General features: G+C 48.9%; 1 long non-coding RNA gene across 3 annotated transcripts in view; it reads right to left on the bottom strand.

Annotated features, from left to right (window-relative positions):
* Positions 1 to 1,295: 1,295 nt before the first annotated feature.
* Positions 1,296 to 24,158, bottom strand: part of LOC107987007 (uncharacterized) — a 70,552-nt gene continuing 47,689 nt past the window's right edge. The window contains exons 2-5 of one of the 3 annotated variants that reach the window (XR_007061537.1): positions 10,247 to 10,727; positions 7,005 to 7,126; positions 6,587 to 6,914; positions 1,296 to 5,894 (exon numbers count right to left, since the gene is read on the bottom strand). This is a non-coding gene — a long non-coding RNA (uncharacterized LOC107987007). Of the gene's footprint in view, positions 6,915 to 7,004; positions 7,127 to 9,859; positions 10,728 to 24,158 lie in introns of those variants that run through there. The other 2 variants (XR_007061538.1, XR_007061534.1) reach the window with 2 other exon arrangements.

Genomic DNA, 24,158 nt, shown 5'->3' with positions numbered 1-24,158 from the left:
AGAACAGCCGGCAACACAGCCTCGCATCACACCCAACCTCCCGCCAGCCTCCAGCCCTGAGCAGCGTCCTCACTGCACCGCAGCCTAGAGAGGGAGCCAGGGTGCAAAAGGGACAGAAAGGGAGAGAACCGGAGGCCAGGCTGACCCGAGCAGCCAGGGACAGAGGACAGACCCGGGAGGCACATGTGCGGCAGCACATGGTCCTCCCAGGAGCCGTGGCCCAGCACCTCCTGGCCGGAACAGCCATCCTATTCAAATAAACGAGTAACAAAAATGGGCACGCTCTCCACTTCCAAAAGCAATGCTGGCCAGGCACAGTGGCTCACGCCTGAAATCCCAATGCCAGAGGCGTTGGAACCAGAGCAACTCCATCTTGAACAGGAGCTGGGTAAAATGAGGCTGAGACCTGCCGGGCTGCATTCCCAGGAGTTTAGGCATTCTAAGTCACAGGATGAGATAGGAGGTCGGCACAAGATACAGGTCATGAAGACCTTGCTGATAAAGCAGGTTGCAGTAAAGAAGCCGGCCAAAGCCCACCAAAACCAAGGCGGCCACGAGAGTGACCTCTGATTGTCCTCACGGCTCATTATATGCCAATTAGAATGCATTTGCTGCTAAAAGACACCCCCACCAGCACCATGACAGTTTACAGATGCCATGGCAATGTCTGGAGGTTACCTTATAAGGTCTCAAAAGGGCGGGGAGGAGACCTCAGTTCCTCTTCATCCCTTTACTTTCCTGATAAACTTGCTCTCACTTTACTCTGTGAACTCGCTCCAAATTCTTTCTCGCATGAGATCAAAGAGACCTCTCTTGGGGTCTGGATCAGAGCCCCCCCTTTTCCAGTAACACCAGCACTTTGTGGGAAAGACAGAGGCGGGAGGATTGAGTGAGGCCAGGAGTTCAAGATCAGCCTGGCCAACATAAGGAGACCTAAGTGCCTAACTTAAAAAAAAAAAGGCCAGGCATGGTGGCTTACGCCTATAGTCCCAATACTTTGGGAGACCGAGGTGGGCAGGTAACTTGAGCCCAGCAGTTCAAGACTAGCCTGGACAACATCGTGAAACCTTGTCTCTACAAAAAACAAACAAACAAACAAACAAACAAAAAAAAAACGAAGAAATTCCCGGGCACGATAGTGTGCACCTGTAGTCCCAGCTATTCAGAAGGCTGAGATGGGAGAATCGCTTGAGCCCAGGAGGTAGAAATTGCAGTGAGCTGAGATTGCGCCACTGCACTCCAGCCCGGGTGACAGAGGGAGACCCTCTCTCAAAAAAATAGAAAAAGAAACCCAGGCAGGCATGGTGGCACGCACCTGTAGTCCCCAGCTGCTCAGGAGGCAGAGGCAGCAGAATTGCTCGAGTGCAGGCTGTAGGTCAAGGCTCTAGTGAGTTACGATTGTGCCACTGCACTCCAGCCTGGGTCACAGAGCAAGCTGCAGTCTTAAAAAATAAAAAAAAAAAAATAAAAGCAGTGCTATTTTCCTACAAATGAAGAAATCTCATCAGACAAATACTGCCACAAACCAGATGAAAATAATGATCTAATATTCCAACAAGAACTTCAGCTCCAAAGGGAGACTACAGCACAGGATAAGAACAGAGGAGAATAAGCACAGAATAAGAATGCAGGGAAGAGGTGGCCAAACAGCAGCCGAGTCTGTGGTAGGACATGACAGAATTCAGGAAGGAAACTGAAGAAAAAGACAGAACCATTTCAGAAATGAAGAAATGAAGTTACAGGTAATATGAGAGCACAGACACCATGAAAATCACGTAAAAAAGGAAAAAGTGAGCAAATGGAAAGAAAGAGGAAAGAGATTAAAAAGGAGGCCTCCTGAGTAGCTGGGAGCACAGGTGTGCACCACAGCACCTGCTGAACAAGGATTGAAACTATCATTCAAGACCTCTTTATTGAAATGCAGGCAGACTTGCACCTGCCTGTAAAAGTGCAAGCTGTATACTTGTGTGTGTTGGCCCAGAACAGTCAACACAAAACATGCCTTTGTAAAGTCACTGGACTTTAAAGATAAAGAAATAATCCTTTAGGCAGCCAGACAGAAAGACCAAGTATCTTATAAAGCAAAGAAAACCAACTTGACATCAGACTTCTCCAAAGTGACATTCAATACCAGAAGAAAAAAGAAGCAATGCCTCCTTATCTAGAATTTGTGGGTAGAATTCTGTCCCCCAAAAAGGTATGTTACACTTTGGGAAACTGAGGTAAGTGGATCACTTGAGATCAGGAGTTTGAGACCAGCCTGGCCAACATGGTGAAACCCTAGCTCTAATAAAAATACAAAAATTAGCCGGGCATGGTGGGGTGGGTGGGGGCGCCTGTAATTGTAGCTACTCGGGGGGCTGAGGCAAGAGAATTTCTTGAACCCAGGAGGTGGAGGTTGCAGTGAGCCGAGATCGCGCCACTGCACTCCAGCCTGCGCGACAGAGCAAGACTCTGTCTCAAAAAAATAATAAAAATTTTAAAAGATATGTTAAAGCCTCAACCCCTGGTACCTATGAATGCAACCTTTTTGGAAATAGGGCCTTTGCAGATATAATCAAGTGAAGACGCAGTCACACCTGATTGGAGTGGGCCCTGATTCAATACAACTTACCTCCTTATAAGAAGACAAAAAAGGCCGGGTGTGGTGGCTCATGCCTGTAATCCCAGCACTTTGGGAGGCCAAGGTGGGTGGAGCACTTGAGGTCAGGAGTTCGAGACCAGCCTGGCCAACATGGTGAAATCCCGTCTCTACTAAAAACACAAAAATTAGCCAGTTGTGGTGGCGGGCACTTGTAATCCCAGCTCTTTGGGAGGCTGAGGCAGGAGAATGGCATGAACCAGGGAGGCAGAGCTTGCAGTGAGTAGAGATCATGCCACTGCACTCCAGCCTGGGCGACGGGGCAAGACTCTGTCTCAAAAAAAATAAAAAATAAAAAATAGAAGATGATTCGGCTCATGATTCTGGAGGCTGGGAAGTCCAAGTTTCAGGGGCTGCATCTGGTGAGGGCCTTCCTGCTGTGTCATCACATGGCAGAAGGCATCACATGGCAAGAGAGTGTGAGAGAGTGAGAGAACACATACCCAGCCTCGAGGCCTTTTGTTACCTGCATGGATCATCCATGGATCATCCTAAACACCTCCCCTTAGGCCCTACCTCCCAACACTGTTGCATTGAGGACTGAGTTTCCAACACGTGTTTTTAGAGGGACACATTCAAATCACAGCTTCCCCCCTCCACCACCCATTTTAATCCTGGGCTTTGCCTGGCTCCAATTCCTCTCTTATGTAAAGCAATGGATCAGACACACAGCCTTGGGGGATCTGTGAGAACTGAAGGGACTGAGGCCTCTCTCACACAGAACCCCAAAACCCTCCCATGCCTCCAGGACCCCCAGCAGGGAAGAACCCCACCTAACTCAGGGCCCAATCAGAGGCAGGGCCAAGGGTTATCCCTGCCCTCAGACTGGTTTTCCCAGGCTAGGGTCTGAGAACCCCGAGCAGCCAGTCCTTCTTCCCATGGGATGCGACTGGGCAGGGCCAGTGAAGGAACCCAGAGGCATGTTAGTCAAAGCGGGTTTCAGGCTCTGGGTGAGGGGTCCTGCATGGTGAGAAGCTGGGCCCACCTCCCACAGAGCCCACAGAACAGACTCAAACTCAGACACCAACAAGAAGATGCCAAGGCTGGGGAGGGCAGGCCCAGCCCGCAGAGTTCCTGCAAGGACTCTTCCCTGGCTGTGGTCGGAGCAGCTACTCAGGAAATCCCTGGCAGCAGAGTGGGCACCCCCTCCGGGCACCAGGAGGAGAGGTGTGCAGAGGGGATTCCGGGTCAGCCATTGGGATTTGAGACTTGCCTGGACACCCACTTCCACTTCTCCCCCACCAGGCGTTTCTCCCATCAGGGAAGAGGAATGCTCAGATGGGCCCAGAGGCCATGCAGAAAGAAGGAGGCCTCCCCCAGGGCTGAGAAGGCAGTGATGGGAGGCCGGCCCCAGGCTTGGGGTGTGGGTGGTTTCAATTGGAAAACTTTTATAATAAAAAATTGGAAGAAAGAATGTAATTCCCTCTAAAAAAATATGTCCTCGTGATGCCACGTACCCACCTACACCCACCTGACCCCAGGCACCTCCTTCCACAGCCAGCCACTGCAAAGGAGGCCAGGGAATGTGTCTTCCTGATGCCCACAAAGGAGACACAGAGCTGGAGGGCATGGGGACCCAAGGTTCCAGGCTTCAGAAGGGAAAGCATCCACAGCGATCCCACAGTAAGGACAGCCTCTGATGGCAGCCCCCACTGGCCAAACTACATCCCCCTGGGCAGAGTGCACCGGGCCTGGCTTCCCTCCATGCTGGTTCCAACTCACAGCCGGGGTGAGGCCAGGGCGAGGCCAGGTCCCCCCTTCACGGGGAAAGCTCCCTGGGTGCTTCCCTGGTCAGGGCTGTGCATTCTTGTTACCAGTCCCTCCCTGACCCCAGTGACTCTGGCTGGGCCTCCACCCCTGCCCAGACCCACCCCACTACAGAAGACCCTGACCTACCATTCACTCTTTTTTAAATATTTTATTTTTTCAGAGACAGGGTCTCACTGTGTTTCCCAGGCTAGAATATAGCGGCTGTTCACAGGCATGATCATAGCTCACTGCAGCCTGGAATCTCTGGCCTAAAGCAATCCTCCTGACTCAGCCTCCTGCGTAGCTACAGAGCCACAGGCCACGCCCAGCTCTCAGCATTCCCTCTTTTACTTTATTTATTTATTTATTTATTTATTTATTTTGAGGTGGAGTTTCACTCTTGTCACCCAGGCTGGAGTGCAATGGTGGGATCTCAGCTCACTGCAACCCTTGCCTCCCGGATTCAAGTGATTCTCCTGCCTCAGCCTCCCCAGTAGCTGGGATTACAGGCACCCGCCACCACGTCCAGCTATTTTTTTATTTTTATTTTTTTTTTTAGTAGAGATGGGGTTTTGCCATTTAGGCCAGGCTGGTCTTGAACTCCTGACCTCAAGTGATCTGCCCACCTCAGCCTCCCAAAGTGCTGGGATTACAGGCATGAGCCACCATGCCTGGCTGGCTTTCCCTCTTGAGCACATGCATGTAGGCAGGAATCCCAGCCCCCTTTGCAGATGAGCAAACTGAGACACAGAGAGGTTCAGCCACCTGCGAAGGTTGCACAGCCAGGATCCACCGCCTTCTCGCAGCACCCACCCTCTTCCCAAGGAGTGCCCAGTTCAGCAAGGCAGATGACACCAATCCCAACTGGGCAGCCAGGTTTTATGAGGCCAGGACAAACAGCACTGATTTGAAGCCTTGTAGAGGGGTTCAAATCACAGGCCCTGCCACAGGCTGGCCTCAGGGTCCTGGGGGAGCTGTGGGCATGCTTCTGAGCCGTAGCTCCTCTATCCACCCAAGGGAGCTGGTAGCACTGGCCTTAAGAGTGTGCTGTGAGCCCGGGGGGTTGCAGCTGGGCATTGAATGATTCCTACCACCCCACAAATACCACTCTGCCCCTCCAACGGGGGCAACCCCTCATGGCCTGTCTCGGCAGCATGGAAGTTACACTCTATTGCATCACCCCCAGGAAGATGGAGAGAGGCCTCCAGGACCTCATGAGGGTGGTTTTCTGCATAATGAGATGCCTTGGATATTCCTAGAGGTCCGAGCCTAGGCCTCTGTCAGCACATCAGTGAATGCAGCCCTGCTGGACAAGCTCAGGAGGACTCCAGGATCCCGAGTGACACATTCCACATCCATACAGGCAGACCAGGGCCTGCAATTACAGATGGGAGGTCCCAAGGTCCAGGCAGGGGCTCCCACATGTTCCCAGGAAAGCACCAGGCAGGGAGGGTGGTGGGCAGCAGTTCTGGGCTTTGCTCCTCGCCAGGCCCCATTTCTTCATCTGTAAAATGGGGAGAAAATATTTTCCCTTCCTAACTGCATTGGAAAGACGAGATAAGCAGCCGACTGGGGAAGGTGGAACTTCCCACTCAAGCAATATTGGGCGAAATAAGTGGGTTCAGAGACTGAGCGGTGGTGCTGGCCCCAGACACTGGTGTGGATGCAACACGTCGCAGGACTCAGCCCGTCGAACCCCTGCCTGCCGCTGCACTGATGCCCCCTTCCCCCTCACAGAGCCCTGATGCCCGGCCATCCTGATGGCGGGAGCTCCCCTAGGCCTCTACAGCCGTGGTCCAAACGAACCCTGCACTCCACACCGGGGCTCCTCACCACTGGGGCACCCTGGGCTGCCCTCGGGGCTGGCACTCGGTGGTGGGGGCCGTCCGACACCTGGTAGGATGCTGAGCCGCACCCCCGGCCTCCACCCACTAGACGTTGGTAGCATTCATTGTGACAACAAATTTATACCTAAACATTGCCAATACTGCCCCCAGTGGAGAACCAATGACGGGTAGTCTAGACTGTCCATGTCACCTTCTCTTAGTCCTTCCCCGGACTGGGACGTCTCACAACCAAGTCCTTGTCCCACCCCACTCTCTACATCCCGGCATCCAGCACCGCCCCCTGCTGAGGGCTCGGCCAATGTTTCCTGAATGAATGAGTGGCCCCTGGATGTGAGCATGGGTCACACACCTCACGGTGATTGGGTGGGGGTTTCTCATGAGTAGAGGGACCCCCACATGCCAGGGCTGCGCTGAGCAGGGACGTCAGTGACTCCCTCTGTGAAGGCGGCCACTTGAGACAGGATTCTAGGAGCCTCTGTCACACCCGGCAGTGCACAGGATGATTCAGAGAGAGGCTGTCCCAAGGCCTCCCGGCTCACTGGTCGCAGTCTTCCAGGTCCTCCCGCCACCCTCCACACAGCACCACTGCCACCCTCATCCCTGCTGGGCAGGAGAGGCGGTCGGGAGGGCAGACACAGGGCAGTGGGCGAGTCTGATCCGGGTTTTGTGAGGCCTCCCTATAAAGAAAGAATACAAACTTACAAAAACAAAATTAGGTATGACAGTGAATATTTCTTTAGGATGAGGAAAAAAAAAAGCAAACATACAAAATCCAGAAAACCAACATCGTGTTTTTACGAAGGGCCTGCTCCATCTCCATAACACTTCTTCTTGAACTTTTTGGCTGCGTACTTTTTATCTATCTCATTGTTTGAGAATTTTACATCACCTATGATAGAAGGAATAGAAACATAATTGCTCTTCCTCCAGCATGGTTGATTGAAATTTGTTTTTTCTTATTTATAATTAGAACACATAGAACAGATGACTTAACACATGTGCACACAGCTTTGCAGTACAGCTAGAGGTCTGTGTACGTTAAACAACAAGTTCTGATCAATTCTATTTACAAGATTCCTGTTTGCAAAAGGAAGCAGGCCAGGCATAGTGGCTCCCACCTGTAATGCCAGTACTTTGGGAGCCCAAGGTGGGCGGATCACTTGAGCCCAGGAGTTTAAGACCAGCCTGGCCAACATGGTGAGATCCTGTGTCTACAAAAAAAAAAAAAAAAAAGCTGGATGTGTAGTTCCAGCTACTTAGGAGGCTGAGGCGGAAGGATTGCTTGAGCCTGGGAGGTTGAGGCCGCAGTGAGCTGTGACTGCCCTACTGCACTGCAGCCTGGGCGACAGAGCAAGTCCCTATATCAAAAAAAAAAGAGGAAGCAGCAATGCTGGGTGCACATTTATAATTGTATACGATGCATTTATCAACAGACCATTTCTGCTCTGGCGAGGCCCTGATGAGAGCTGAATACTCTGCTTACAAAGGCACACGCCCGAGGACCGTCAGAGAGTCCACCGGGCGCTTGGGCTCCGTGTGTTTCAGACCAGCCTGGCCAACATGGTGAAATCCGCATCCATGTGCGGTGCAGAGCATGGCAGGGTGCATTCTCCTCCTCACCGTCTCTCCCAAGCACCTTCAGGTCGTGATGCCGAAGAAACCATCTATGCCCAGGTCTTAATCCATAAAGGTGCCTAACAGAGGTCAACTCTATTGAAAGGAAAGTCTAACATCGCTCTTGAAACATTCGCTAGAAATGAGAGACGTGGCAGGCCCCGCAGGGCGGCAGGGGGAAGCCGCAGGCAGACCAGGAGGCAGAAAGGAGCTAGGGAAAGGCCAAGCCACAGCCTGTGTTGGCTTCCCTGTGAAAGCCGGGCAGAGCAGGGGAGACAGCTTGGGACGGGCTGATTTGTCTGATTCTGGGTTTCGGGGCTGTCCCTTGTGGTCTGGTTCTGGGCCTGGGTTGACACTGGGCAGGGAAATATTGGCTGGGGGTACGGAAGATGAAGGAAGTGGTTTGGAGCAGGGACTCTGGGCAGCAGGGGAGGTGCTAACAGCCCTGGTCAGGAGGTTGGCCCTGTCATCATGACCGCAAGTACTCAAACGCAGGATCTAAGGAGGCACAGATCAAGGACGAAGCCAGCAGGAAGGTCAGTGGGGATGAGGGGGACTTGGGGTCTTTCTTCCTCTGCCTCCTTCCCCTTCCCACACCGGAGGGTAAATTGTGTTCTTCTGTGAAAGTCACAAGAACCCTCAGACACCCAGAGAGTTCACACACAAACACAGGAAAAGACACAAGTCGTATGACCATCTCAACAGATGCAGCCTAGTGTTTGATGACACTCACTGTCTGTTCTTAAGGAAAAGCTCAGCCCTCTGGGAAGAAAAGACCCATTGTTAAGCTGATGAAGGCCATCTATGGAAAAAGTCAGAGCTGCCAACAGAGCTAACAGGAAAATGTTGAAAGCTTTCTTTACAAGATTGGCAAGGGGGCAAAGAATCCTATTAGTGCCACTGCTATTCAATATCAGCCTGGATGTGGCAGACTGCACAGTGAGTCGGGTAAAGTTTGTGAAGAAGAAAACAAAACTGTCTTTATTCACAGATGATATGGTTGTGTATGCAGAAGAGCCTACATAATCCACAGGGAAATTCTGAGGATTCAGAGGAGTTTAGCAAAGTTGTTGGGTTCAAAATCTATAGGCAAGATTCCATTTTCTTACTATATATTAGCAACAATGTTGGAAAAATAAAATTTATAAAAAGACATAATAGCACAAAATATCAAGAATCTAAGAATAATGTGCAAGGTCACTATACAGAAATGTTATTAGTAGGCATTAAAGATGGTCTAAACAAATGGAGATACCATGTTCATGGATTAGAAGACTCAAAATGAATTCTTCCCAAATTAATTAATTTTTTCCAAATTGATTTGTAGAACTAAAGAAATTGCTATCCAAATCCTAACCAGGTTTTTGTGGAACTTAAAATACTTACTCTAAAATTTGTGTTGTTTTCGTTTTTGATTTTTTTTTTCTTTTTCTTCTTCTTCTTATATTGAGATGGGGTTTCTCTATGTTTTCCATGCTGGTCTCAAACTCCTGGGCTCAAGCCATCCACCCGCCTCAGCCTCTCAAAGTGCTTGGATTACAGGCATGAAGCACTTTATCCAGACTAAAATTTGTATGGAAATACAAATTCAATTTGACAAATATTTGGCCAGGCATGGTGGCTCATGTCTATAATCCCAGCATGTTGGGAGGCTGAGGCGGGTGGATCACTTGAGGTCAGGAGTTTGTGACCAGCCTGGCCAACATGGTGATACCCCGTCACTACTAAAAATACAAAAATTAGCCGGAAATCACTTGAACCCAGGAGGCGAAGGCTGCAGTGAGCCAAGATTGTGCCACTGTACTCCAGCCTGGTCAAGAGAGCGAGACTCCATCTCAAAAAGAAAAAATAATAAATAAAAAATATTTATTGAGCCCCTTAGTCCAGGGACTGCTTCTGGTACTTGGGATGCCTCTAAGAACCCCACCCACAAAGACCCTTCTTCGTAGACCTTAGCAGGAGAGACACACAGTAAAGAGTAAACACAATACATAAGCAAAGTACCCAGTATGGCAGGAGGTCATAACTGTTTTGCAAAAAACCAAGACTACAGAGGGGAGGGTCACCAGGACATCTAGGGGCAGAGGTGGGGTGAGAATCCAACCTTCCACACGGGCCATCTCTGCGACCCATCTCTGTGACCCCAACAAGAGGCCCCTCGCCGGCCATCCTGTTCCAGCTTCTGATGTCCTGATGTAGAAGCGGCTTCTCTGCAGCTCTGAGGTGAGAGGCCAAGCCCTCCGTGACCCCAAAAGGCCAGGGCTCCCCAAGTGTTATCCACAAACACACCTGTGGGGACTGCAGGCTCCTGCAAGGCGCCCTTGCACAGGTCTCTTGCAGAGCTTCTCCACCCACTCTCTGGGCCCTGACACAGTGGGAGGGTGCCTGTCCTTACCCCAGCCGGATGTCCCACCACACTCCTGCCTGGGAACTTCTGGCACGCAGGAGAGGCTGGACACGCAGATGCAGAGAGGCTTGCCCCAACGCCGTTGCCCGTTTTACCTTGAAGTTCGTGGTTCTTTAATTCTTGCTCCAAACTGTGAATCAACCTTTAAAATATATGATATTGAAGTTCTCCTTCAGCCTCCAGTCTTTCATCAGAGTTAAATCCAGAGATTTCACGAGCAGTAGATAAATTTGCAGTAGAGAAAAGTGCTCCAAAGGTGGGCACGCCTGGCTCCCATTTGGAGGTGTTTATAAATGCTTTTATGTAGACCCCTCCTAGATGACAAGGAATGGCCTCAGAGCAACCCTGGGAAGGATGAGGAGGGGTCTGGGGACTCCAGACGAAATTGCACAGCCGCCTACCGTGTGAGTGGAAACCCATGCTGCTTCTGCCTGGCCTCTAGGATCCGCGTTCAGGGGAAGCCGTGTCCCTGCGGTCATGAGACGTGATTGTTCAGACCAATGGATGAGGCTGAGCAGAATCATTTCATTTCCCCCGCACTTGCCAAAGGCAGGGACTTTCCTGTTTGTCCCTGCCTGATATGCAGGAAGGGCTCAGAACTACTTAAGAACAAATCAATGAACCTATGGCTTTATGGCAAATACCACAGAAACAACCTTAGAAATGGGCTGAGGAGGCTGTCTGGCCTCTAACAAATGACCTCATCTCTCTGAACCTTAACTTCCTCATCAGTAAAGTGGCAGTGCAGCCCCTCCCTCACAGGACGCTCCCTGGCAGAGTGCAGCCCTGCCGTGCAGCAGCCGGTATGACCTCGTCCTTGTGATCAGGAGGGCCCTGCTGAACTGTTTCCGCCCCGCAGGTGCCTACGAAGCCTGGGAAATGATGTGGCCTTCCTGGAGCCATGCAATGGCTTTGTTGTCACCAGGAAAAGGGCCTGTGGCACCCGCCTGGCCACTCATGTCCTAAATGAGACAGGCCCTCTTCATCGGCCTCAGTGGCTCATTGAGATGAGGACTTGGGAATTTTGCTGTTTAACAGAGCAACTGAGCACCCAGGTGGCTGCCCCAGCAGACCCTGGAGACGTTTCAGGAGACCTGGCAGGGACCCAAGCCTCTGCCACTGCACCAGGCCCTGGCCAGAGGGCTGGGCTCAGAGCCCTTTATTTTTTTATTTTTATTTTTTATTTTTTAGAGACACAGTATTGCCCTGTCTCCCAGGCTGGAGCACAGCAGTTGAAACCATACCTCACTGCAGCCTCGATCTCCCAGGCTTAAATGATTCTCCTGCCTCAGCCTCCAAGTAGCTGGGACCACAGGCATATGCCACCATGCCAGCCTTATTGTTAAGTGTTTTGGGTAGATCCCATCTCCCTATGTTGCTCAGGCTGGTCTTGAACTCCTGGGCTCAAGCGTTCCTCACATCTCAGCCTCTTGAGTAGCTGAGACCACAAGTGTGTGCCACCGCACCTGGCCCCAGAGCCCCTTTTAAACTGCAACTCACAGTCTCCAAGTTAGACTCACACAGAGAAGATCTAAATATGTGTCTCCTTGAGGGAGGCTGAGGAGTGGAGGAGGATGAACTCTTACAAAACATCAACCTTTTTAAAAATGTGTTTTCAGTAATTGCTGTTCTGCGCCAAGTTTTATCCTAGTGGGAGTTTCATGTCAGAATTACTAAGTAGGAGTTCATAACAGAGAAGTTAATCGCCCTTGTGTAGGGGCGAGGCACCGAGCGATGATCTCTGTGCCCAGGTAGGTGCTTCCTGGATCCGCACAAGCACAGGAGATGGCAGGTGGGGAGTGGGTGGGGGGTTATGAAGGGCAGCCGAGGAGGGGCAGGGGGCAGGGGGAAGCAGGATCTCTGACGGTAGAAGGGAGTGGTCACTACGTCCCCAACACACCCCCTTCATGTCCCCGCTATAGCCACACACCACGGGGGAAAGGCTCCAGGCCAGCCCCCATCCCCTCAGGACCATGATGCGGGCATCTGCAGAAACGTGTGGGGGCTGTCTGGCCTGAGAGGCCTAGAGCCAGGAACAGGTGGTTTAGAGCTGCCCTCCTCCTCCAACTTCAGCCCCAACCCCCTTCCTCAGCAGCAGATCCCACCTGAGTCTCTCCTAGGCCTGTTCTGGATCCGAAGTGGGTATGAGACATTCACCATCTATTCCTTTGCTCCACCGTCACCAGAGGCTTTGTGGTACCTTATTTTTGAGAAGAGGCAACATATTCTAGGACTAGGCTGGGAACAAGGGAGAAATTCATCATGCATCCCTCCATTTATCCATCCATCCATCCATCCATCCATCCATCCATCATCCATTCTCCCACCTACCCACTCATTCCCCATCCAGCTACCCACTCATCCATCCATCCTTTTGTCCATTCACCTACCAATCCATTTATCTATCCATCCATCCCCATCCATCCATCCATCAATCATTATCGATCCATCTATCCACTCATCCATCTATCCACCTACCAATCCATTCATTATCCATTCATTCCTGTACATCCATCCATGTATCTACCTATCAATCCATTCATTATCCATCCACCTACCAATCCATTCATTATCCATCTACCCCATCCATCCATTCACCTACCAATTCTTACATTATCCATCCATCCCCATCCATCCATCCATCCACCCACTCATCCACCTATCAATTCATTCATTATCAATCCCTCCCCATCCATCCACCCACCCACTCATCCATTCATCATCCATCTATCCCCATCTACCCATCCACCTACCCATCCATCCATCCACCCATACATCCATCCACCCACCCACCCACCTATCAATTCATTCATTATCAATCCATCCCCATCCATCTACCCATCCACCCACTCATCCATTCATCATCTATTCCCATCCATCCATCCACTTACCCATCCATCCATTCACCCCATCTACCCATCCATCTATCCACCCCATCTACCCATCCATCCATCCACCCATCCACCTACCAATGCATTCATTATCCATCTATCCACCCACCCACCCATCCATTCATCATCCATCTATCCCCATCCATCCATCAACCCACCCACCCATTCAGCATCCATCTATTCCCATCCATCCATCCACCCACTCATCCACCCATCCATCCATCCACCCACCCATCCACTTACCAATTCATTCATTATCCATCCATCCCCATCCATCTATCCCCCCACTCATCCATCCACCATTCATCATCCATCTATCTCCATCCATCCATCTGTCCCCACCCATCCACCTACCCATCTACCCACTCATCATCCATCTGCCTACCCATCCAGCCACCCATCCATTCTTCATCTGGATGGACAAATCTTCATTGAGCACCAATTCTGTGCTGGGCAACAGGAGACAGAGATGCAGGAAACACAATCTCTGCTCTCAGAGAACATGCTTTCCAGGGACAAGAAGACATGGACAGATGGACAGAAGCACCAGGTGAAGATGCTAGGACATGGCTGATCTGTGGTCCATATCCTGTTGGGGAAAACTGGGGGCCTGGGGACGTTGGTCTAATGAAGAGAAGACTTGGAGGAACTGGCATATGCTGCTGAGAATGTTTGGTGCCCACCATAATACCTGGGAGGGAGGAGGGAGGACAGAGGGGTGACCACAGTGAAAATGTGGAGGGATCAGTGGAGTGTAAGCCCAGCCATTGAAGGAATGTTTAGGTGAGGCACTGCAGAAGTCAGCTGGACACAATCAGGAGTGTAAGTGTTAAAGAAAGAGGAAAGAAACACAAAACGCAGCTTTGGGGCTGACATATCTCTGGCCGGAGGGGAGGTTATCTCGGGGCTGGCAAGCCTCTGGTGAGGGAGGGGTTTGGAATGTTTCTGGTCTGAGATGTTATTTGTGGGTTTTGGTCATGCTGACCAGTGCTTATCCAAGATGGCAATACTCCTGCTGCTGGTTGGCCACTCGGAATTGTCTTCGTGGAGAGAGAAGACTTTATGGTTATGGGCCACAATATCTAGGGTGTGGCCATGGGAGAGGAGGGCTGGGGTAGTTTTGAGGTCAAGACCATGAAAGGAGAGCAGGCCAGGGTTTTGCAGGGATCACCCCCTGGAAACGGAAATCACCAAAAGTTATAAGAAGAGGAGGAGTGCTGGAGAGCGATGCGGTCCTTGAGGGGCGAGCGGGTGTCCATCTCCAGTTACAGCACAGTCAAGGGGATGCTCAAAGTGTTGACAAAAAAGAGTCAAACTCTGTAAAATATTTGAAGAGAGTTATTCTGAACCAAACCTGAGTGATCATGGCCCATGATGCAGCCCCCGGGAGGTCCTGAGAACATATGTCCAAGGTGGTCAGGGTGCAACTTCATTTTACACATTTTAGGGAGACATGAGACCTCAATCTAATACATTTAAGAAATAAATTGGTTCAGAAAAGCAAGAGAACTAGAAGGCGGGGGGTGGGTGAGGGGGGACTTCCAGGCTATAGGCAGATTTAAAAATTTTCTGAGTGACAATTGGTTGAGTTGATTTAAAGACCTGGGATCAATAGAAAGAAAATGTTTGGGTTAAGATAAAGGATTGTGGAAACCAAAGTTCTTATTTGCAGAGGAAGCCTTCAGGTGGCAGGCTTCAGAGAGCCTGTAAAATGTTTCTTATCAGACTAAAGTGTGTTGATGTTAATGCTGGAGCGATAATCATGCAAGTCCGATCCCCACTTCCCATCATGGCCTGAACCAGTCTTTCAGATTACATTATAAGAGTGCCCTGGCAGAGGAGGAGGTCCATTCAGATGGCTGGGGGGCCCTCAGAATTTTATTTTTGGTTTACAAAAAGTTTAGGATATGGGGGACATTGCTCATGGCTGGTCAGGAGCTCGAGAGTGGAAGGGTTTGAGGGAACTGGGGATGGGGGAAGGGGTCTGAGAAGGGGTTATACAGAGCTGTCTGGGGCAAGGGGTGGCCTGGGGGGACTCGAACTTTCCATACAGAGGGAGAAGCAGCATAATGAGCTTCATCCTGGGGTCTACAGTGGCAGACAGTGGGGAAAGCAGTGACAGGGAGTTTGCCAGCAGAGGAGGCAGCTTAGGGTGGTCTTACTCAAAGACCCTCCCTGAATGCTGGGAGCTGGGAAGGGGTTGGTTTTGCCCAAGCACATGGGGTCTCACTTGTCTTCAGGCAATGGTGGCCGCCTGAGGATAGCGGAGGCTCATTGCCCTAGGCCAAGTGGGAAAACTGCCTCACCCAGAAGGTCACACCCTCCCCCACAACCCAGTGCCTGATTGATGAGGGGAGGGAGAGGAGACACAAAATGGTCCTGGCCTCAAGGCAGGGACAGCCGTGAGGTGCAGTGCTCCTGAACTCCCCTTCATCCAACCAGGCTGAAGCAGTCATAGCCTTGCTCAGGTCTCTGCACCGGCTCTCTACCCCCACTCTCCTTTCCTAGGAGCACTCCCTCCATAATCACCTCCACAGGAATTCCATCTCAGCTCTGCTTCCAGGAAACCTGACCCAAGACAGAGGTTGTTGCAAGGGCAGAGGCCACAGGCATCCACGCCAGCCTCTGTGTGTTCAGTCTGTGAGCGGCCCAACGCTCCCCATGCACTCCTCCTTAAAGCCTACTCAACCCTGGGGTCTGCAGGCAAGTTCCTCGCGGGTGCCTTCCCTTGTCCTGGCTGCTGCTCTGCTTCCTTTGCAAGCTCCTTCTCGCACCGTTGCGCTGGCTCCCTCCAGAGGGCTCCATCCCCTGCCCACTGTGCCTTCGTGGGTGGTGCCCAGATCTCTGTCTCCTCTGCCCTGGACCCCTCTGCCCCTGACTGGCAGATCTATAGAGTTCAATGCCCCTGGAGGGCTCCACGTCCATCCCACAGGGACCCGGACTCTCATCTTCCTCCTGAGTGTGCTCTCCCCGGAGACCTGGCATTGGAATTCACCCTGCCACCTTGTGGTCTCCCCAAGTGGAAACCTGGGCGTCAGTCTGGACGCTTGTCACCAAATTCTGTCCCTTCCACCTTCACATGGCCTCTCCATCTTCACCGCCTCGGTGTCTCTATCTCGTCCCGATCACCGTCGCCTCTCCTCTGGCGGAGAGCACCAGCATTCCCACTGGTCTCTGCTTTTCCTCAAACGCATCTCTGTGTATATCTCCCCTCAGGATCACTCTGTGGCCCCCACTGCTCTGGGTGGAACCTTCTTTCCAGTGGTGTTTCAGTCCCCTGGGTCTGCCTCACTCCTCACCACCGTCTTGTGCTTCTGCACTGAGCTCCAGCCAGACCACCTGCCTGCAGCCACCTGGCACTACCTGTTCCCGTGTGCTTCCTGCCTTTGCCTGGAGAGAATAACAATCTATAGTCCAAACTCAAGGACAAAAACAAACTGCTTTTTGGCTGTGGTGGCATGAAACCCCAATAAGTCAATGACAATGCTGCATGCTTCTGAAAGCTGGCCAGTCAGGGACAGCCCCACACTACAGAACAGGCCCAGGCAGCAAGAACCTTGTGCCCCTGAAGTCAGGCTGAACACTCTCACTTCTGAAAGCTGGACAATCCTCAATGCCAGGCTTCCCAAGAGACTTAATTTGTTTTGCTCTGAGAGATGGTCCTATAAGCACAGTTCCCCTTTGCTCTAGTAAGCAAGATACTCAGCTTCAGCACTGACCAGCCTCACAATCTGTCCTCACCAAGTGGAGGGCCCTCCCTCCGGGTTCCTCCACGGCCGTATCTGTCTCTGTTCATACACCTTCCCCTCAGCACTTAGAGACATGGGCTGGCATGGCGGGTGCTGGCAGCAGGGGTGAGAAATAAACTTTCAGCCCTAGATGAGGAGCCCAAGAGGAGAGCATGCCGTCACCTGGAGTCTCTGGTATGTGCCTGGCACCTGTACTGATTGCATTAACCACTGTGATTTTTTAAAAGATGTACTATTTTGAAATGTATAATACATATGGAGAAGTGTATGAAATATGTACAATTTAAAGATAAGGAAAAATGCATGCCTGTGTGCCCACCACCTAGTGAAGAAATACAACCTGGACACCACTTTGGAAGCCTGTCTGTGTTCACCCGTCGCATTCTCCCTCCTCCCCCAGCCCAGGTATCCTCCATCCTTTAGCCATCCCCTGACTTTCTTTAGTTTCATTGCCTGAAGTCTGAGCTACTAGGGAGGCTGAGGCAGGATAATTTCTTGAACCCAGGAGCAGAGGTTGCAGTGAGCCGAGATTGCCCCATTGCACTCCACCCTGGGTGACAGTGCGAGACTCCCTCAAAAAAAAAAAGTTTGTGGGACCAATTCCAATCGAGTCAAGGGGTCTCAATTGGCCAAGGCAGTCTCAAACTTCTGACCCAAAGTGATCTGCCTGGTTCGGCCTCCCAAAGTGCTGGGATTGTAGGCGTGAGCCACCATGCCCGGCCTCCCCTCCTTTTCATTCAGGGATTTTAAATGTTTTATTTGCTCCATCTGTTATGTATGATTGCCTTGACGATTTCAGCTTGAATTAAAATTACATATTTTTGCCTGTGTTTATTAATATTTAAACATATTAAAATAATACATGTTCATAATGAAAATGAAACATTACAAACAAATACACAGGAAAGGCAGTATTCCCCTTCCAGTTCCACTCTTGAAATAACCAGTTAACAAGATGATGAACATCTTTCCATGATGTTCTCCAAGATTCATATAATTATTTGCAATCATACAATGGCATATACAGCTCAGGTGCAGTGGCTCATGCAAGTAATCCCAGTACTTTGGGAGACTGAACTGGGTGGATCATTTGAGGTCAGGAGTTCAAGACTAGCCTGGCCAACATAGTGAATCCCCATCACTACAAAAAACACAAAAATTATCTGGGCGTGGTGGCAGACGCTTGTATTCCCAGCTACTTGGGAGGTGGAGGCATGAGAATCACTTGAACCTGGGAGATGAAGGTTACAAGGAGCCGAAATCGCATTACTTCACTCCCACCTGGGCGACAGAGTGAGATTCCATCTCAATAAATAAATAAATAAACAGAAAGAAAGAAAGAAAAAAAGATGAAAGAAACAAAGAAAAAAGGAAGAAAGAGAGAAAAAAAGACAGAGAAAGGAAGCAAGAAAGCAAGCAAGCAAGCAAGCAACCAAGCAAGCAAGCAACCAAGAAAGAAAGAAAGAAAGAAAAAAAAATAGAAAGAAAAAGAAGTCATGTGCTCAGGTTGCTAGGATCGATGGTAAGAACAAATCCTCTAGCGGTGAAAATGTAAGAAGGAAAAAGAAATTTCTGTTAGTCTTGTTTGTTGCACCCCAAGCTCTAAAAATACAGCCACATGTGTGATAAGTACTTAGTTAAGATGAAAAAGGCATTAAATTTGTGCATGGAAATCATAGACAGAAATGTGTTCTGATTGACAGCAATTGGGTCAATGATAGCATTGGATAGCCTTGGATAGCCAAGGTTCAGGCATCCACTGCGGGTCTTAGAACACATCTCCTGCAGATAAGGGAGGGCTACTATATAACGTTTCTTTCTTTTTTTCTTCAATTATAAAGCATTCTCCTTTTTCATATAACAATTTGCCATTGATATCACTTTAGGTATAAAGATATTAGGATATCTTTATAGTAGATAAAAAGCTAACTCATTATTTGTAAGAGTTAAAGTATCTTCCATTATATCAGCATATAAAATGCTAAAGTACTTTTGCCACCAAAAATAGTGCTTCTGTAAATATTCTTTTACTTATACCTTTATTAATTTTTACTTCTGCTGAAACAAATAGCGTGAGGAAACAAATGTATGTGTATAAAATGTAATATATGTATATATATTTAATATGTGTATATACACATACATACAATAACATACCCAAATTTTTGGTTGTTTTTTGAGGTGGAGTTTTGCTCCGTCACCCAGGTTGGAATGCAGTGGTGTGATTTCAGCTCACTGCAACCTCCACATCTTGGATTCAAGTGATTCTCCTGCCTCAGCCTCCTGAGTAGCTGGGAATACAGGCATCTGCCACCAAGTCCAGCTATCTTTGTCTTTTTGGTGGAGATGGGTTTTCACCATGTTGGCCAGGCTGCTCTCGAACTCCTGACCTCAAGTGGTCCACTGACCTTGCCCTCCCAAGGTGCTGGAATTACACTTGTGAGCCACCGCGCCTGGCCTAACATATACAATTTAATGTATATACAAATATAGGTTGGGTGCAGTGGCTCACTCCTGTAATCCTAGCACTTTGGGGAGCTGAGGTAGGGGATTCTTTGAACCCAGGAGTTTGAAACCAGCATGGGCATCATGGTGAAACCCTGTCTGTACAAAAAACACACAAATTAGTTGGGTGTGGTGGCACGTGCCTGTGCTCTCAGCTACTCAGGAGACTGAGGTGGGAGGATAGCTGGAGCCCAGGTGTTCGAGGCTGCAGTGAGTTGTGATCATGCCACTGCACTCCAGCATGGGTGACAGAGTGAGACCCTGTCTTAGACAAAAACAAATCAGACCAAATATAATGTTTATGCACTACACACTTGATTTCTTTCCAAAGGGTTATATAACACTAATTTCACCAGCAATATATGCGACTACTCATTTCCTACATACTCACTATCACTTGGGTGCAGTCAAGGAAACTTAGTAGGCCTGAATTGCCCAAACCTGGCATACTCCAAAGAATGGTGTGACTCTAGCCCGGCTCCTGGGAAATAACCTCTAAGTCCTTGGAATCTCCTGCCTATGTGGGAGTTAACAATGTGATTTATTGTGGGGACCTTGGACCATGCAGTGTCAGCTTGACCTTGGGAAGGGTGGAGACAGGAAACTAAGGTCATCCAAATGGGTGCTCTTTTCCATGAGACCAACCTCCAGTAAAACCCTCAACCCCAAGACTCAGGTAAGCTTCTTGTTGGGGAGTATTTTCTGTACTTTCTGCCACATATCGTTGGGTGAATTAAGCACTGTTCACATGATACCACTGGCAGAGGACAACTGGAAGCTTGTGCTTGGTTTCTCCTGGACTCTGCCCTATGCACCTTTTTCTGCTGCTGATTTTAATCTGTATCCTTTTGTTGTAATAAACTATAACTATGAGTATAACAGCTTGACTCAGTTTTGTGAGTCCTTCTAATCAATCACTGAACTTTTGGGACCCCAAAACACAATGTTGTTTCTTAATTGAATTTTCCATGTTATGTAAGAAACCTATGTGCATAATTGAAAATCCCACACTAAGAAAGAGCTCTCCATGCAGTCTACTCCCCACCCTGTTTCTCCAATAGTCCCAAGTCTACTTTCTGAATAATCAAATATTTAAATTTTCTAAACTATTTATAATCCATATATCTGAGTGCTTATCTCTGTTATATAATAGGTAGATCCTCCTCCTTCTGTTTTGTTTGTTTGTTTGTTTGTTTGTTTGTTTTTCTGAGACAGAGTCTTGCTATGTCACTCAGGCTGGAGTGCAGTGGCACAATCTTGGCTCACTGCAAGCTCCACCTCCCGGGTTCACTCCATTCTGCTGCCTCAGCCTCCCCAGCAGCTGGGACTACAGGCACCCACCGCCAGGCCTGGCTAATTTTTTTTTTTTTTTTTTTAGTAGAGACGGGGTTTCACCGTGTTAGCCAGGATGGTCTTGATCTCCTGACCTCGTGATCCGCCTGCCTTGGCCTCCCAAAGTGCTGGGATTACAGGCATGAGCCACCGTGCCCGGCCCCTCCTTCTTAATGTATCAACTTGATATATTACCTGATGGCTTCGTGTTCTGATAGCTGATGACTTGGCTGACACTCACCCCTTACCACAGTGCCTGAACCACTTTCCTTATATGGTGCTCTCACTATTTTCTTTTTCTTTTCTTTTCTTCTTCTTTTTTTTTTTTTTTTTTTGAGACAGAGTCTTGCTCTGTCGCCCAGGCTAGAGTGCAGTGGTGCAATCTCAGCTCACTGCAACCTCCACCTCCCAGGTTCAAGTGATTCTGCTGCCTCAGCCTCATGAGTAGCTGGGATTACAGGCATGAGCCACCATGCCCAGCTAATTTTTGTATTTTTAGTAGCAGCGGGGTTTCGCCATCTTGGCCAGGCTGGTCTCAAACTCCTGATCTTGTGATCCACCCACCTTGGCCTCCAAAAGTGTTGGGATTACAGGTGTGAGCCACCGACCCGGCCACTCTCACTATTTTCAATGGCTCTGTTGGTTACTATTCACAACATTCAACAATTAGACTTATACCTCATTTATTTATTTATTTTTAATTTTTTCTGTTTTTAGGTTTAAGGGATACATGTGCAGGCTTGTTACACGGGTAAATTGCATGCCACTGGAGTTTGGTGTACAAATGATGTTGTCACCCAGGTAGTAACCAGAGTACCCAATAGTTTTTTGACCCATAGCCTCATGCCATCCTCCCCACTCAAGCAGACCCTGGTGTCTATTGATCCCATCTGTGTGTCCATGTGTACTCAATGTTTAGCTCCCACTTATAAGTGAGACCATGGGTATTTGGTTACCTGATGCTGCATTAATTTGTTTAGGATAATGGACTCCAGCTGCATCCATGTTGCTTCAAGGGACATGGTTTCTTTCTCTACGGCTATGTAGTATTCCATGGTGTATAATTACCACATTTTCGTTATCCAATCCACTGCTGATGGGCATCATATATGCCACTTCAAACTATACTACTAGGCTACAGTAACCAAAATAGCATAGTAGTGGTACAAATACAGCACATAGACCAATGGAATAGGTTAGAAAACCCAGAAATAAATTCACACACCTATAACCATGTGATCTTTGACATAGTCAACAAAAGTGAGCAATGAAGAAAGGACTCCCTATTCAACAAATGATTCTGGGATAACTGGCTACCCACATGCAGAAGACTGAGTGTGGGCCCCCTACCTTTCACCATATACAAAAATTAACTCCAAATGGATTAAAGATTTAAATATAAGACCTCAAACTATAAAAATCCTGGAAGACAACCTAGGAAACACTCTTCTCAACATCGGCCTTGGCAAATAATTTTTGGCTAAGATTCCAAAAAAGCAATTGCAGCAAAAACAAAAGTAGACAAGTGGTACCTAATTAAGCCAGAAGCTGGGAGGCCAGGTTGGGCAGATCACAAGGTCAGGAGTTTGAGACCAGCCTGACCAACATGGTGAAACCCTGTCTCTAATAAAAATACAAAAATTAGGTGGTGGTGGCACACACCTGTAATCCCAGCTATTCAGGAGGCTGAGGCAGGAGAATTGCTTGAACCTAGGAGGCAGAGGTTGCAGTGAGCTGAGATCGCACCACTGCACTCCAGCCTGGGTGACAGAGCAAGACTGCCTCAAAAAAAAAAAAATTAAAGTAAAATAAAAGCATAAACACAACAAGACAAACTATCAACAGAGTAAACAAACTACAGAATGGGAGAAGATACTCACAAACGATGTATCCAACAAAGGCCTAATAATATCCAGAATCTATAGACAACATAAACAAATGGATCCCTTACTCTGTAGCAAGTTCTGTATGCATAAGCCTCTCTTTGTTCTTATTTTGGTGGCCTCTGTTTATTTACACAAAGAGAAATAACTGCTATTCCCATAAATCATGGCTTTCAAAATGGTCACAGTTCACTGGGCATGCTTGCTCATGCCTGTAATTCTACCACTTTGAGAGACCGAGGCGGGCAGATCACGAGGTCAGGAGATCGAGGCCATCCTGGCCAACCCAGTGAAACCCCATCTCTACCAAAAATACAAAAAAAAAAAAAAGCCGTGATTGGTGGCATGCGCCTATAATCCCAGCTACTCAGGAGGCTGAGGCAGGAGAATCACCTGAATCCAGGAGGCAGAGGTTGCAGTGAGCCGAGATCATGCCACTGCACTCCAGCCTGGATGACAGAGTAAGACCGTCTCAAAAAACCCAAACTGGTCAGGCTCGGTGGCTCACGCCTGTAATCCCAGCACTTTTGGAGGCTGAGGCAGGTGGATCACAAGGTCAAGAATTCAACACCAGCCTGGCCAAGATGGCTTATCCCCAACTCTACTAAAAAATACAAAAATTATCCAGGCACGGTGGCAGGCACCTGTGATCCTAGCTACTTGGGAGGCTGAGGCAGGAGAATCGCTTCAACCCAGGAGGCAGAGGTTGCAGTGAGCTGAGATCTCACCACTGCACTCCAGCCTGGGCAATAGAGTGAGAATCTGTCTCAAAAAAAAAAAAATGGGGAAACTCCATCTCTACTAAAAATACAAAATTAGCCAGGCATGGTGGCACATGCCTGTAATCCCAGCTACTTGGGAGGCTGAGGCAAGAGAATTGCTTGAACCTGGGAGGCAGAGGTTTTGGGGAGGTGGAGGTTGAGGTGAGCCAAGATCGTGGCATTGCACTGCAGCCTGGGCAACAAGAGTAAAACTCTCTCTAACAAACAAACAAACAAACAAACAAACAAAACAAAACAAAGAAAAATACACACAACTTATTTCCTGGTTTGTGATAATCTGTGAAATATATTTTGAAATGAATTGGAATTCAATACAGTACTATTCACACCCCAAATACTCCTAATATTTCCTTTCCCAGATGATGACCTGGTACTCTTCCTAGGGCTTGACTTCTCCCTACAGGTCCCCAGTACAAGTATTTGTGATTCTGAGTCAATTCATTGTCTACATGTGTGACAATGCAATGCTCTTGTTGTAGAGTACCAAGATGAGGCAGGTCCAAACTGCACATTTGTAGAGAACATAGTATATGTGCAATTGAACATGTATGTGGTTGTGATACTGAAAACAATACGAACTTATGCCAGGTGCAATGGCTGATGCCTGTAATCTTAGCAATTTGGGAGGCCGAGGCATGGAGATCACCTGAGGTCAGGAGTTTGAGAGCAGCCTGGCCAACCTGCTGAAACCCCGTCTCTACTAAAAGTACAAAAAATTAGCTGGGCGTGGTGGCAGGCACCTGTAATTCCACCTACTC

Source organism: Homo sapiens, chromosome 9 (assembly GCF_000001405.40).
Source record: "Homo sapiens chromosome 9, GRCh38.p14 Primary Assembly".
In the NCBI taxonomy this organism is placed as follows: Eukaryota; Metazoa; Chordata; class Mammalia; order Primates; family Hominidae; genus Homo; species Homo sapiens.
Note: the sequence above shows the minus strand (reverse complement) of the source record. Positions and strands in the feature narration are given on the sequence as shown.